The sequence below is a fragment of the Homo sapiens genome, chromosome 16 (genome assembly GCF_000001405.40).
Source record: "Homo sapiens chromosome 16, GRCh38.p14 Primary Assembly".
Classification (NCBI taxonomy): Eukaryota; Metazoa; Chordata; class Mammalia; order Primates; family Hominidae; genus Homo; species Homo sapiens.
In genome coordinates, this window is record NC_000016.10 from 64,336,401 (window position 1) to 64,349,852 (window position 13,452).

General features: G+C 41.7%; 2 long non-coding RNA genes across 2 annotated transcripts in view; both read left to right on the forward strand.

Annotated features, from left to right (window-relative positions):
- Positions 1-7,904: 7,904 nt before the first annotated feature.
- The window catches only part of LOC105371310 (uncharacterized), a 134,908-nt gene continuing 129,360 nt past the window's right edge, over positions 7,905-13,452 (forward strand). Inside the window, exon 1 of the long non-coding RNA XR_001752234.1 lies at positions 7,905-7,992. This is a non-coding gene — a long non-coding RNA (uncharacterized LOC105371310). The remainder of the gene's footprint in view (positions 7,993-13,452) is intronic.
- Positions 8,630-10,189, forward strand: LOC105371311 (uncharacterized). Its single transcript, XR_001752237.1, has 2 exons — positions 8,630-8,768; positions 9,418-10,189. It is a non-coding gene; the product is annotated as an uncharacterized LOC105371311 (long non-coding RNA).

The window sequence follows — 13,452 nt, forward strand, 5'->3', positions numbered from 1 at the left end:
CTCAGCTATTGCTCAGGCTAGATTTAATAAGTGCTGGCATTTACATTTTTGCATGATAGTGGGGACTATACCACCGAAAGCCAGGGATTACTTTTTGTGAGCTACATTTAATCAAAAGTGATCCATAATTTCAAGCTCCAATGCCTTCCACCATGTTATTAACTAGACAGTTGTTCACTGTGAAGCCTCCTCACTCAGGTTTAAAATGTGGTGTGTGATATGCTGAGAGACTTCTCTTTGCCACCTCCCAAATGGCTGCCCTTTTTAAAAGCTCAAGAAATAATTTTATCCTTTGGTTTCTTACTCTTCCCTAAGTATTACAGATGAGTTGAAAAATATTAGACTTACTAGTGAGGATTTTCTTAGACAAAGTAGTTTGTTATATGTTTGTGAACATACATGAATGTGTATCTATATGTGTGTTTCAGGAAGGAACATTATTATCAAAACATAAAGTTTCCCCCCACCTACCTCTGAGCACCCATCCTGTCCAGTCCATTGTTCCAAACAGAATTTCTTAACTCCCAGCAAAGGGAGATATTGTAACTAACTGACTAAAATAGATCAAGGAGTATTATTAAATCAATCATGTCAATTATGAGATAAAGGGTACATATTCTATTTTCTCCCCTATGGCAACATAAGCATCAGAATTGATGTTTTATCAAGAAAAAGTAGAACAACAGATAAATTCTAAAGCCATGAAACGGTGTGAACACTCAGAACATTTTTAGATTATACAGCCACCTCTAAGCTCAGTCTCTCTTCCTCTCTCCCTCCCTCTCTCTTCCTTTCTTCCTTCCTTCCTTTTTTCCTTCTTTCACTGTCTTGCTATTTCCTGCCATTTTATTTATATATGTAATTTTTTATGTCTTAGGTCTACTTTTCTCCAGGACTTAAGAGAGTGGTTTTTATCATAGAATGGAAAATAAAATAACCAAAGCACTAGCCACAAGGGAAACAGCACTCCCGAATGCCACCTGGAGAAATGGTTGGCTCTATTTTGAGGATGAGCTGGGAATCAATGGGGCAAGAAAAGTAAAAATTGAGCATAAACAGGATAACTTGCAGAGACTGTCCTTATTGCCTCTGTCTTCTCTCATCCCCAGTTGGAGTGTTGCTGCTGGGCTTATACAACCAGGAGCAAATACGTGGCCCATTTGAAATCCTATAATGAAGACAATGGTGGGAAATTGGAACCTAGTACTTCTTTCAAGGGCAGTGTTTGGATGTGGATGCCATGGGGTTTGAATACTGTTTTTGTAGATGAAAGCTTGGAGAAATTCCTAAGTTTCTGTTTGTCACCTGCAAGATATTTTTTTGAAAGAAATAAATACTGTATAGGCAAAAGTGATTAATTAGATTGATGAGAAATTGGCAAGTGCAATAAAAAAGAAAAAGTGATGGTTAAACTTTTGGCTTATCAAAATTTTTAAAAATCATTTGTGCCAAGGCAAAATATCTTTATTTTCCCTAAGCATAAGTCATCTGGGTATTTAGAGATACTGGATTAATTCAGTTCACTGTATTATGATACTTCAGCTCAGTCTGGCAATGAAGACAGACATATTGGTTGTCATTAGTTACCAGTAAGACATTTCATGAAAGAAATAAAGACTGTATAGGTAGAAGTGATTACATAGAAAGGTAGCTTTTAGTTCACTTCATTTGTCAGCTCCTGATGTTTTCCTGCCGAATCTTCAGGCAGCCAAGTATAGTAAAATAGTAGTAGTAGTAGCAGTTTATGGTGTTTTCTTAAAATAAAATATACTTTAGATTGTCAGCCCAGGGTCAATCTTGGGCTCAAAATTTTGAATTAAATTACTCTCCTGAATAATGACCTTCCCTTAGGGTTGACAGAGAAGGTCTTTTGCCAGAAAAGAAGATTTTGAAGTTAGAAAGGTCTTGTCTGTTGCATCCTGGCTTGATACTGGAACACTTCATTGATTCTGGCTATATTCTTCTTCCATAAAATTTCTTTATGGCCACAAATATACTCAGTCTTGATTTCTAACTCTGTCTGCATTCCATCCTTCTTACTGACTGTTTAGTGACTATATATATTTGTATTTATATAATTGTACGTGCACACACAAACACACACACACACACACACACACACATATATATTATTGTGCTGATGAGCAACATTAATTGTAAGATAGGCAATGTTAAGACAGAAACAATGTAAAGGGGGCAGAGGATGTGAAAACTCAGCACCAGTCAGTCTTAGCTAGGTGAATTTTGCAGAACTCTTTCCCTGTGGTTACGTTTTCAGTTGCCTCCTCATACCACTATTAATTTCTATGGTTCTTTGAGAGAAATAGCATCCCACTGACAAGTAACATTGAAAGAACTTAGGCTCTTCCAAGCTCAATTATAAACTTTTGGTATTGATACTGGATTAGAAGCTTAGACTACGTAGGGCATTTGAGGGATTTGGAGGCTGAACAAGAAAAAAATATAGGACCACAAGAGGCAGTTGTGTACAAAAAACTTCACTGGGCAATGCTCAAACATGGTCACATGAGAGGGGTGTCCCTTTATGGCAGGGGGCCATCCAGAGGCTTATAGTGACAGGGCCAGAAGGAGAGATTGGTAAGGAAACTCCAGAGAGATAGGGGGATGAAAGCAGCATAATAGGGAGTTTGTCTTTGTCAGAGAACTCTGAAGGGTAATAGTGGCTTAAAGCAGGGGTCCCCAGTCCCCAGGCCGCATACCAATGGCAGTCCAGGGACTGTTAGGAACCAGTCCACAGAGCACAGGGTAAGTGGCAGATGAGTGAAGCTTCATCTGTATTATCAGCCGCTCCCCATGGCTTGTGTCACTGCCTGAGCTCCACCTCCTGTCAGATCAGTGGTAGAGGGAACTAGGTCGCATGCTCCTTGTGAGAATCTAATGCCTGATGATCTTTCACTGTCTCCCATCACCCATGATCTCCCATCATCAATCTAGTTGCTGGAAAACAAGCTCAGGGCCCCCATTGACTCTACATTATGGTGAGTTATATAATTATTTCATGATATGTTACAAGGGAATAATAATATAAATAATGTGTGCAATAAATGTAATGTCATTGAATCATCCCAAAACCATCCCCCTTCCCCCATTCTTGGAAAATTTGTCATCCATGAAACTGGTCCCTGGTGCCAAAAAGGTTGGCCGACTGCTGGGTTATATTATTAAAACCACAAACCTCTCTCTTATTAATGGCCAACAGATGCAGCAGAAGATTTTGTTGAGTACACAAAGCAGATAGTCTCTAAATGACTAAAAGTCTACTTATTTGGGTTATTTATTTGTAATAGTTTCAACTTTGAGATTCAGGGGGTATATGTGCAAGGTTGTTACAAGGGTATATTGTGTGAGCTGAGATTTGGGGTACAATTGATCCCATCACACAGCTACTGAGCATAGTGCCCAACAGTGAGGTTTTTTTTTCTTTTTCTTTTTTTTTGAGATGAGTCTCACTCTTTCACCCAGGCTGGAGTGCACTGGCCAATCTTGGCTTACTGCAGCCTCTGCCTCCAGGGTTCAAGCAGAGGCTTGAATCCGGGAGGCGGAGGTTGAAGTGATTCTCCTGTCTCAGCCTCCTGAGTAGCTGGGATTACAGGTGTGTGCCACCACACCTGGCTACTTTTTGTATTTTTATTAGAGACAGGGTTTCACCATGGTGCCCTGGCTGGTCTTGAATTCCAGACTTCAAGTGATCCACCCACCTTGGCCTCCCAAAGTGCTGGGATTATAAGTGTGAGCCACCACTCCCTGACCAATAGTGACTTTTTCAATTCTTTTCTTCTCCTTCTCTTCCAGTAGTCCCCAGTGTCTAACGTTGCCATCTTTATGTCCATGAGTATCTAATGTTTACCTTTCACTTATAAGGGAGTAATGTTTCTGCATTAATTTGCCTAGCATAATTGCCTCCAGCTGCATCCATGTTGCTGTAAGGGACATGATTCTGCTCTTTTTTTATGGCTGTGTAGTATTCCATGGTGTATATGTATGTTTCATTATCCAGTTGTTTGGATTATATTTAAAACAATAGGGAACATAAAATTTTCTATTTGGTTATGGCAGGCTTGTGAACTAACAGGTATTAATTTGCAGTGAAGAAATAACCTAGGGGGTAATACCTACAGACTATTGTTTGGCTCATTTATAAAATAGATTGCCACGAAGAACTAAGAGTATCAAAAACCAAGAGCAGTTTTCTGGACAAGGCACATGAAAAGGTCTTCTGTTTCTTTTGTTGTGTAAATTTTTAAGAAAAAAAAGAAGAGGACCAGAATTTGAAGAAAGCTGGGTTGACATAATTATTGAATCTTTGTTAAATGAGCCTTATCTGAATAATATTTGAGCAGAACATGGGATGAGTCTTAAGATATTGTTAATACTGGATGATGAATAACACCCCCTAAAATTTTCCTAATAAAATAATCATGCCATATTTACCTAAGATTCCAAAAGGCTCAGGCTACTAAAAGTATCTAGGGAGTAGTAACACTTAGTACTCAAATGACCTTAACAACTTAGTCCCACCTACCCTTTCTGTTAGTTTTCTATCAGTGTGCATCAAACAACCTGCCTTCCAGTCTCCCAAAAGAACCCAGAGGATTTGTTATTGTTTTATTTCTTTCGTTGTTGGTTTTGCTTTAAATAATCTTTTTATTTTAATTTTATTTATTTATTTATTTTTGAGACAGAGTTTTGCTCTTGTTGCCCAGGCTGGAGTGCAGTGGCACAATTTTGGCGCACTGCAACCCCTGCCTCTGGGTTCAAATGATTCTCCTGCCTCAGTCTCCTGAGTAACTGGAATTACAGGCATGTGTCACCACGCCAGGTTAATTTTGAATTTTTAATAGAGACAAAGTTTCACCATGTTGGTCAGGATGGTCTCGAACTCCCAACCTCAGGTGATCCACCTGCCTCAGCCTCCCAAAGTGCTGGGATTACAGGCGTGAGCCACTGCACCTAGCCTAAACAATCTTTAAGCTAACCAATCTATCCATGCTGTCTAGAGATGCCCTAATGCATCCTACTTGGTAGATGGTGAATAGTGATAGATTTCTTTTCCTTTTCCTTCCTTCCTTCCTTCCCTCCCTCCTCCCTCTCCTTCCTTCCTTTCCTTCCTTCCCTCCTTCCTTCCTTCCCTCCCTTCCTCCTTCCTTCCCTCCTTCCTTCTTTCCCTCCCTCCTCCCTCTCCTTCCTTCCTTCCCTTCTTCCTTCCTTCCTTCCCTCCCTCCCTCTCCTTCCTTCCTTCCCTTCTTCCTTCCTTCCTTCCCTCCCTCCCTCTCCTTCCTTCCTCTCTCTCTTTTCTTGTCTTTCCTTCCTTCCTTCCTTCCTTCTTTCTTCTTGACAGTCTCATGCTGTCACTCAGAGTCGAGTGCAGTGACCTTAACCTCCTGGGATCAAGCAACCCTCTCACCTCACCCCCCGAGTAGCTGGGGCTTCAGGTGTACACCACCAGGCCTAGCTAATTTTATTTTATTTTTGTAGAGATGGGGTTTCACCATGTTGTCCAGGCTGATCATGAACACCTGGCCTCAAGCCATCCTCCCACAATGGCCTCCCAAACTGCTGAGATTACAGGCATGAGCCACCCTACTTGGCCAGATTTCTCATTAATGTATCAAGAAAAAATTATGTTACCTGCTTTGTAAAGTTTTCTCTGAAGTTCCCAGGCAAAATGAATAAATATGTCTTCTATATTTCCATAGAATTTTGCCTGTGATATTACCAAGGACATTTTATGCTTCATGTTATAATTTTTTTTTCTATATTGTAGGCTCCCCTCATCCTATACCTTTAAGAGAATGCCTCTCATAATGTTAATTCTCTTTGAGTTAGAGCAAGGTCTGACACACAAAGGTGCAAAATAAAGGTTTGCTAGATTAATAAAGTATGTATATTGTTTTTACTAACTTTGCTAAATGTTTAGCTGTCTTAATGAAATATGAATGTGGTAACTTGTGCTAAAGGAGAATGTCAAAAGTGATTAATAATAATTATTAATTTATCATAAGAATATATATTCAAATTAGTAAAAAGTTAAAACAAATTCTTACAAAAGGCATGAATGAATTTCAAAATGTGTGAAAAGTCTGAGATTATTGCAGAATTCTATTATTCATTTTTGATTATCTGGTGAAGGTAGAACTAATGGCCCAGAATGTTCTGTCCCACAGTTCAGTGAGGAAGATTCTTTTGGGTGGTACACAACATTCTTCGTGTCATAATATCACGTGTTCTCTCCTACATGTGAGAGCCAAAAAAGTTGATCTCATGAAGGTAAAGAGTAGACTGATGGTTACCAGAGGCCAAGAAGAGTAGAGGTAATAGGGGATGAAAACAAGATGGTTATTATGTAGAAAACTACAGCCAGATAGAAGGAATAAGTTCTAGTGTTTGATGGTACAATAGACTGACAATAGTTAACAATGATTTAATGCGTATTTTAGGATAGCTAGAAGAGAACATTTGGAATGTTCTCAGCACAAAGAAATAATAAATATTTGAAGTTATTAATATTCTAATTACTTTGATTTGATTATATGCATGTATCAAAATATCACATTTACCTCATAAATATGTACAATTATTATATAGCAATAAAAAATAAAATAAAGTTTCACATACTTAAGAAAAATTATCCAGGTTACGAAAAACCAATGTCACTGGAATTTGCCTCTAAGAGACATTGGACAATTGTTGGAATAATGGAAAAAGTCACTCAGGGGCATGTCTATTTCAGCATATAATAGGCCTGAATAAATTCTCTCCTGCACATGCTACTTCTAGATTTTCTTTTACTTTACACCATCTGTTGGTCTGCATTCCATGTTGCTTTTTGCATCCTTTTGGAAGGCATAAGCAGTACACCTGCCTCACAGATGTTCCAAGGCTCAACCAGACACCCAGATGCAAAACTGATGAAAAGAGAATTGGCCAAATTTGAGGTGAATAAAAAAATATTGAATGCAATTAGAAAATTTTCATGCATACAGAGAATAATCAGGAAAACTTATTAAAGATCTGCAGCTTTATTAATTGTTAGGCTATGAATTAATTTTTAGTACAATGAACTGTCTCTTTTTTTGTTATACAGAATTAATTTCTGGTCCACCTCACCTGATCCCAGGGAGAAAAAATCTTGGAGCAGAGCTGGTAATGTATTTAAGATGCCAGAGGTGGTCCCTCTGGAGTGGCTGCTGAGAAGAAACTGGCTGAAGTGGGGGGTGTGGCCAGAGTTGTGCGCTCCACAAGGCCAGCGGGAGCCCACACTTCTGGGCACAGCTGCAGCTCCAGACCCAGGTGAGAGGTGACAGCATGAGGGCAGCCCTCACAGCCCTCGCTCGCTCTCGGCGCCTCCTCTGCCTGGGCTCCCACTTTGGCGGCACTTGAGGAGCCCTTCAGCCCGCCGCTGCACTGTGGGAGCCCCTTTCTGGGCCGGCCAAGGCCGAAGCCGGCTCCCTCAGCTTGCAGAGAGGTGTGGAGGGAGAGGCGCGAGCGGCAACCGAGGCTGCGCGCGGCGCATGCGGACCAGCTGGAGTTCCGGGTAGGCGTGGGCTTGGCGGGACCCGCACTCGGAGTGGCGGGCTGGCCCTGCCGGCCCGGGCAATGAGGAGCTTAGCACCCGGGCCAGCGGCTGCGGAGGGTGTGCTGGGTCCCCCAGCAGTGCCGGCCTACCGGCGCTGCGCTCGATTTCTCCCCGGGCCTTAGCTGCCTTCCCGCGGGGCAGGGCTCGGGACCTGCAGCCCTCCATGCCTGAGCTACCCCCGCCTCCGTGGGCTCCTGTGCAGCCGGAGCCACCCCGACGAGCGCCGCCCCCTGCTCCAGGGCGCCCAGTCCCATCGACCACCCAAGGGCTGAGGAGTGCGGCCGAAGGCTCGGGACTGGCAGGCAGCTCCACCTGCAGCCCCAATGCGAGATCCACGGGGTGAAGCCAGCTGGGCTCCTGAGTCTGGTGGGAACTTGAAGAACGTTTATGCCTAGGTAAGAGATTGTAAATACACCAATCAGCACTCTGTCTCTAGCTCAAGGTTTGTAAACACACCAATCAGCACCCTGTGTCTGGCTCAGGGTTTGTGAATGCACCAATGGACACTCTGTATCTAGCTACTCTGGTAGGGACTTGGAGAACTTCTATGTCTAGCTAGGGGATTGTAAACACACCAATCAGCACCCTGTCTAGCTCAGGGTTTGTGAATGCACCAGTGGACGCTCTGTATCTAGCTACTCTGGTGGGGCTTAGAGAACCTTTGTGTCTAGCTCAGGGATTGTAAATGCACCAATCAGAGCCCTGTCAAAACAGACCACTCGGCTCTCTGTAAAATGGACCAATCAGCAGGATGTGGGTGGGGCCAGATAAGAGAATAAAAGCAGGCTGCCTGAGCCAACAGTGGCAACTTGCTCGGGTCCCCTTCCACACTGTGGTAGCTTTGTTCTTTCGCTCTTTGCGATAAACCTTGCTGCTGCTCCCTCTTTGGGTCCACACTGCTTTTATGTGCTGTAATACTCACCGTGAAGGTCTGCACCTTCACTCCTGAAGCCAACGAGACAATGAACCCACCGGGAGGAACAAACAACTCCAGACGCACCACCTTCAGAGCTGTAACACTCACCAGGAAGGTCTGCAGCTTCACTTCTGAGCCAGCGAGACCCCGAACCCACCAGAAGGCTGAACACATCCGAACATCGGAAGAACTCTGGACACGCTGCGTTTAAGAACTGTAACACTCACCGCGAGTGTCCGCGGCTTCATTTTTGAAGTAGGTGAGACCAAGAATCCACCAATCCCAGACACACAAGCATGCCTGTGGCTTGTGTGTCTGCAGGCTTGAAAGTGCTTCCTCCCACTGCCTGGCCTCTCCCCATTCCTCGTGCCCACTCCAGGGCAGAGCAAAGCTGTGGCTGAGCCTAGGCACTGTTGCAGTCTGTGTGTGCACACTCAGGGCAGTGCTGACACATCAGGCCCCTGTTGCCTTGGCTCCCTCAGGACTTTGGGTGCTGATGAGCATGGGAGAGAGGCTGAGCAGGGGCTTCAAGGCAGCTCTGCCAGGGCCTGCAGGTGTTTCTTGGCATGAATAGCTTGAGTGCCATGGACAACGTGTTGATGGCGGTAGGAGGCAGACAGGCTCTGGTGCAGAAAGGGGTGGGTTACTAGAGAAACCCCACTTTCAAGCCAGGGACAACCTGAAGCCTGAAGGCCAAGCTGTCAGTTCCAGGTGGAGTCCACAGCCTGGAGTGAGAATTTATGGTGCTTTATCTGAGCCTTCCCATGGCCTCCCATGGAACAATCAGAATGCACTTCCTCCATTCTGAGCCCGTGAAAACCCTCAGACTCAGCCAGACTCACGCAGACTGTGGGATGGCCTGCCTGCAGAAAGGAGCTAACCACTGCGGGTCTCTTCTCCACAGAGAACTGGACACTTGTCAAGAGGACCTGCCTGCAGAAAGGAGTTCCCTCTTCTGGTCCCCTGAGAACTGTTCTGTTGTTCAGTAATGCTCTTCTCAGCCTTGCTTAACCTTCAGTTGTCCACATACCTCATTCTTCTGGACACAGGACAAGAACTCAAGACGTGCTGAATGGGGGGATTGAAAGAACTGTAACACAAACAGGGCTGAAACATGCCCACTGCTTGCCATGTTTCAGGCAATGAGAAGGAGAGAAGATCTGTAGCCTTTTGGACACCCCAGACCTAGGGGCTCCCCAAGCCAGGGCTGTGACTACTCTCTTGGGGCTCTGAGTTCCTGGCATCTCCAAGCTTCAGGGTGCCACCTTGTTCCCCTTGTCCAGACATAGGTGCCTGCTGTGGAAGCTGCCGTGCAGTACATCTGGTCCAGCTGCAGCCTCACATGGAGCCGGCACCTGTGTCAGCACCTGGAGCTGCCTGCCCTGCCACAGCAGCTGGCATGCCTGGCTGTATGCAGTGGCTGGACCCTGCACTTGCTCGGCCACACACCACTCATCTCTTTGTGCCTGGCCCACCCTTGGTGGATGTCGGATCCAGGCTGGTAGCATGAGCCAAGTGCAGCCTGCCAGTCTGAGTGGGCAAAATGAGCTCAACAGGTGCAAGCAATACTCAGGCAGAAAGCACCAGTGGACACAGAGGTTTCCAGCTGATGAAGTGACACACCAAAGATCCTGTGACATTTATTACTAAATAAATAGTATTGCATAGTTTCTTCATGTGATTGTGTGGTTATGAATCTGTCAGGGAAAAATACATGGCACAGTCTGTGTTATTGATCTTTTATAGACCCTGGTACACATCACTAATCAATGATAGCACTCTGGACAGCCACTACCAATCAATCAGAATGTGTACTTACATAAAAAACTAATTATATTCATGTAGTTATTTTTACATATATTCCACATATTTCTTTATCTACATCTGTCTATCTCAAACAAATAGGGAAAATACTAACATTCATTCTTCTCATATTCATTTAAATGTGTCCTTTTCATAGAGGTTTTTTTCGGTGAAGCTATAAAGTCCCACTCACCAGGAATTATCAAATATGTTACCATCACCTATTCACATGTCATTTATCACAATTTGAAATTACGATTTGAATTATCGTGATTATGTTTATTTCCTTGCTTTATTTTTTTGATATCTCAAATGAAAATATAAGCTCTAAGAAAGTCAGAAGTTATCTACCTGGAACTTTTCTATATTCCCAATATAGACAAAAGTGCTTACTAACTAGTGGCCACTCAATAAATGTTTGTTCAATGTAAGCAGTAAAGTTTATAAGAAAAGGCCCAAGAGCAAGAACAAAAATGAGAGGTGTCTGATTTCTATACATTAGCTCTTTTTATCTGGAGAAAACTCTGTCCAAAATAAATATAATGTGAACTACATATGCACGTTTTAAATTTCTAGCAGACCCATCAAAAAATTGAAAAGAAGCAGGTAAAAGTGATTTTAAGAGTATATCTAATCTAATACAATATATTCAAAGTAGTATCATTTCATTATGGTATTGATAATAAAATAATAAGATATTTTCTTTTTTTTTTGTGCTAAGTTACTGAAATCTGGTGTGTATTTTATACTCACAGCTCATTTCAATATGAACGAGGCACATTTCAAATGCTTTGTAGCCATAGATGGCTAGTGGCTGCTGCACTGGACATTGTGGATAGAGAATATAGTTTGTGTGGGAGTTTCACGAAAAATAAGCCCAACTGGTAGGGCTATAATTCGGTAATCATGGCAAGGTGAGATCTGTGGAACAAATTAACAAAAGGAAGATGATTAGCATTGTGTTCAAGGAAAAGTAACATAACGTATGTTGAAGTTAGAAGATGGCAAGAAAAATTTGGAATTTGATTGTCATGAAACAAGTAAGAAATAGATACTTGAATTTAAGCAGTGACATAGACTGGGAAAGGTGGGGTAGATAAATCAGATTCAGTAAATATTCTGAAGTAGACATTTATTCAATGCAACTTCACAAAAACCATCCTATTTTACACCAATAAATATTTCCAGGTTTCATTTAGAGTGATTTGCTGTGATAATAACAGTTAAGAATTATGAATCTTTTCACTCATAAAAGAAGTCTTTTTACACCTTTACATTACACTCAGCTGACAGCAAACCTGTCAAAAAGCAAATTGATGGATGAAAGATGAACATAACATTTAAAAACACTGAACCTCTTTATATAAAACTTAGTTGGAGACTTAAAGTAGAAGTGTCTTTTGAGGCTACATCTTTGTGTTCAACAAAAGACAGAAGAGGCTTTGTTTAAGGGTATAGTGCCCCATCATTTCTGCTCACACAAAGGCAACAATCCTTAAAGCCCAACTCAGGCCTTGCTTCATCCATGAATACATAAGATTTTTGTGGGCCTATAATGTAGCAGACATAGTGTTAGTTCCCATAAGTGAAATATCTCACTTGACATATGATCTCATGGAGATCCCAACCACTCTCCAGCTCATTGCATTCTCCAAAGGATTTCGGGGTGTTTACTGTCTTCTTTCAATCTATTCTTTTTTGCTAAAACAAAATACATTAGTCCATGTTTGCCAAAGGATTAAAAGATACCAGTGTACATGTAAAATACTTAATATATACTATCTTATTCTTTGTTGTTGTTGTTTGTTTGTTTCATTTGAGACAGGGTCTTGCTCTGTCACCCAGACTGGAGTGCACTGGTACAATCTTGGCTCACTGCAGCCTCTATCTCTTGGGTTCAAGTGATTCTTGTGCTTCAGCCTCCTGAGTAGCTGAGACTACAGGCATTCACCACCATGCCCAATTAATTTTTGTATTTTTAGTAGAGATGGGATTTCACCATGTTGGCCAGGATGGTCTTGAACTCCTGACCTCAAGTGATCTTCCTGCCTTGGCCTCCCAAAGTGCTGAGATTACAGGCATGATCTACTGTGCCTGGCTGTTTAACAACTGTATAATGTAAGCACTATTATTATTCAAATTTTCCAAAGAGGAAACTGAGGCTTAGAGATGTTAAGAAGCTTTTCAAAGTCAGAAATAAAGTGGAGAATAGATAGGAACACCATTGATCTAAAAATTTTAAACAATCATATCAAATATCATTTATCTCAAAAACATTTATTCTCTTAATAACCTAACCTAAGGGCAACAGCAATGAGAGTTGCAAAAAGGAGACTGTCCATATGTTAGATGCTACTGAAAAATTAAATAAAATGAGAATTGAGATCATTTGTTTCAGTTGCATTTCTGGGAGAGGTCAACTTTGGTAACTTCTGAAGCAATATTTCAGATGAGGAATGGGGAAGAGAATGGACAGTCATTGTTGTGGAGATTGTGATTGAGTAAGGAGTCCTGTAGTAATGCATCCTCCATGGGAAATCCTAAAACCTCTTCCTCTACCTCCTTTCAGTTCCGTAATTTGACTTCCCTGGGAAGTCGCTGAAGGAGATGTGAGTAATGTAATTGTTATAATTACTATCCAATTTGACCCTGATCTACTAGACAGTTGTAGACCCTCAGAGTGAATAGTGACTTTATAAGTATGTAATTCAGCATCCTATCATAAACCTTTAATTTTCTCTGGTATCTTGGGACAAAGCATACAGTTTCATGACGTGAGTTTGTTAGTTCCTTTAATTTATTTTAATTGTTAAATGAATGCAAAAATATTTCTTAAAATGAAGGCAATATAACTGTTAGGGCTGCTCTGAAATTAGAGTAGACATGATATATATTTATAAAGAGAGTTATATGTTTTATTTTTCATATAATATGCAGTGACTTGCCAATATGGTGCATTATTTTTTTTTCTTCTTCTCCCTAAGGAGTCCTAATAATGGTCTATGTACTCATAAAACAACTCTTTGGTTTTCAGACATCATGGTTATTAACTCTCAGACTTGCTAAAAATAGTTTGAAGTTCTTACAAGAAAGAGCTACTTAAAAACTTCTCTCCACTGATATGTTTCTTCTGTGA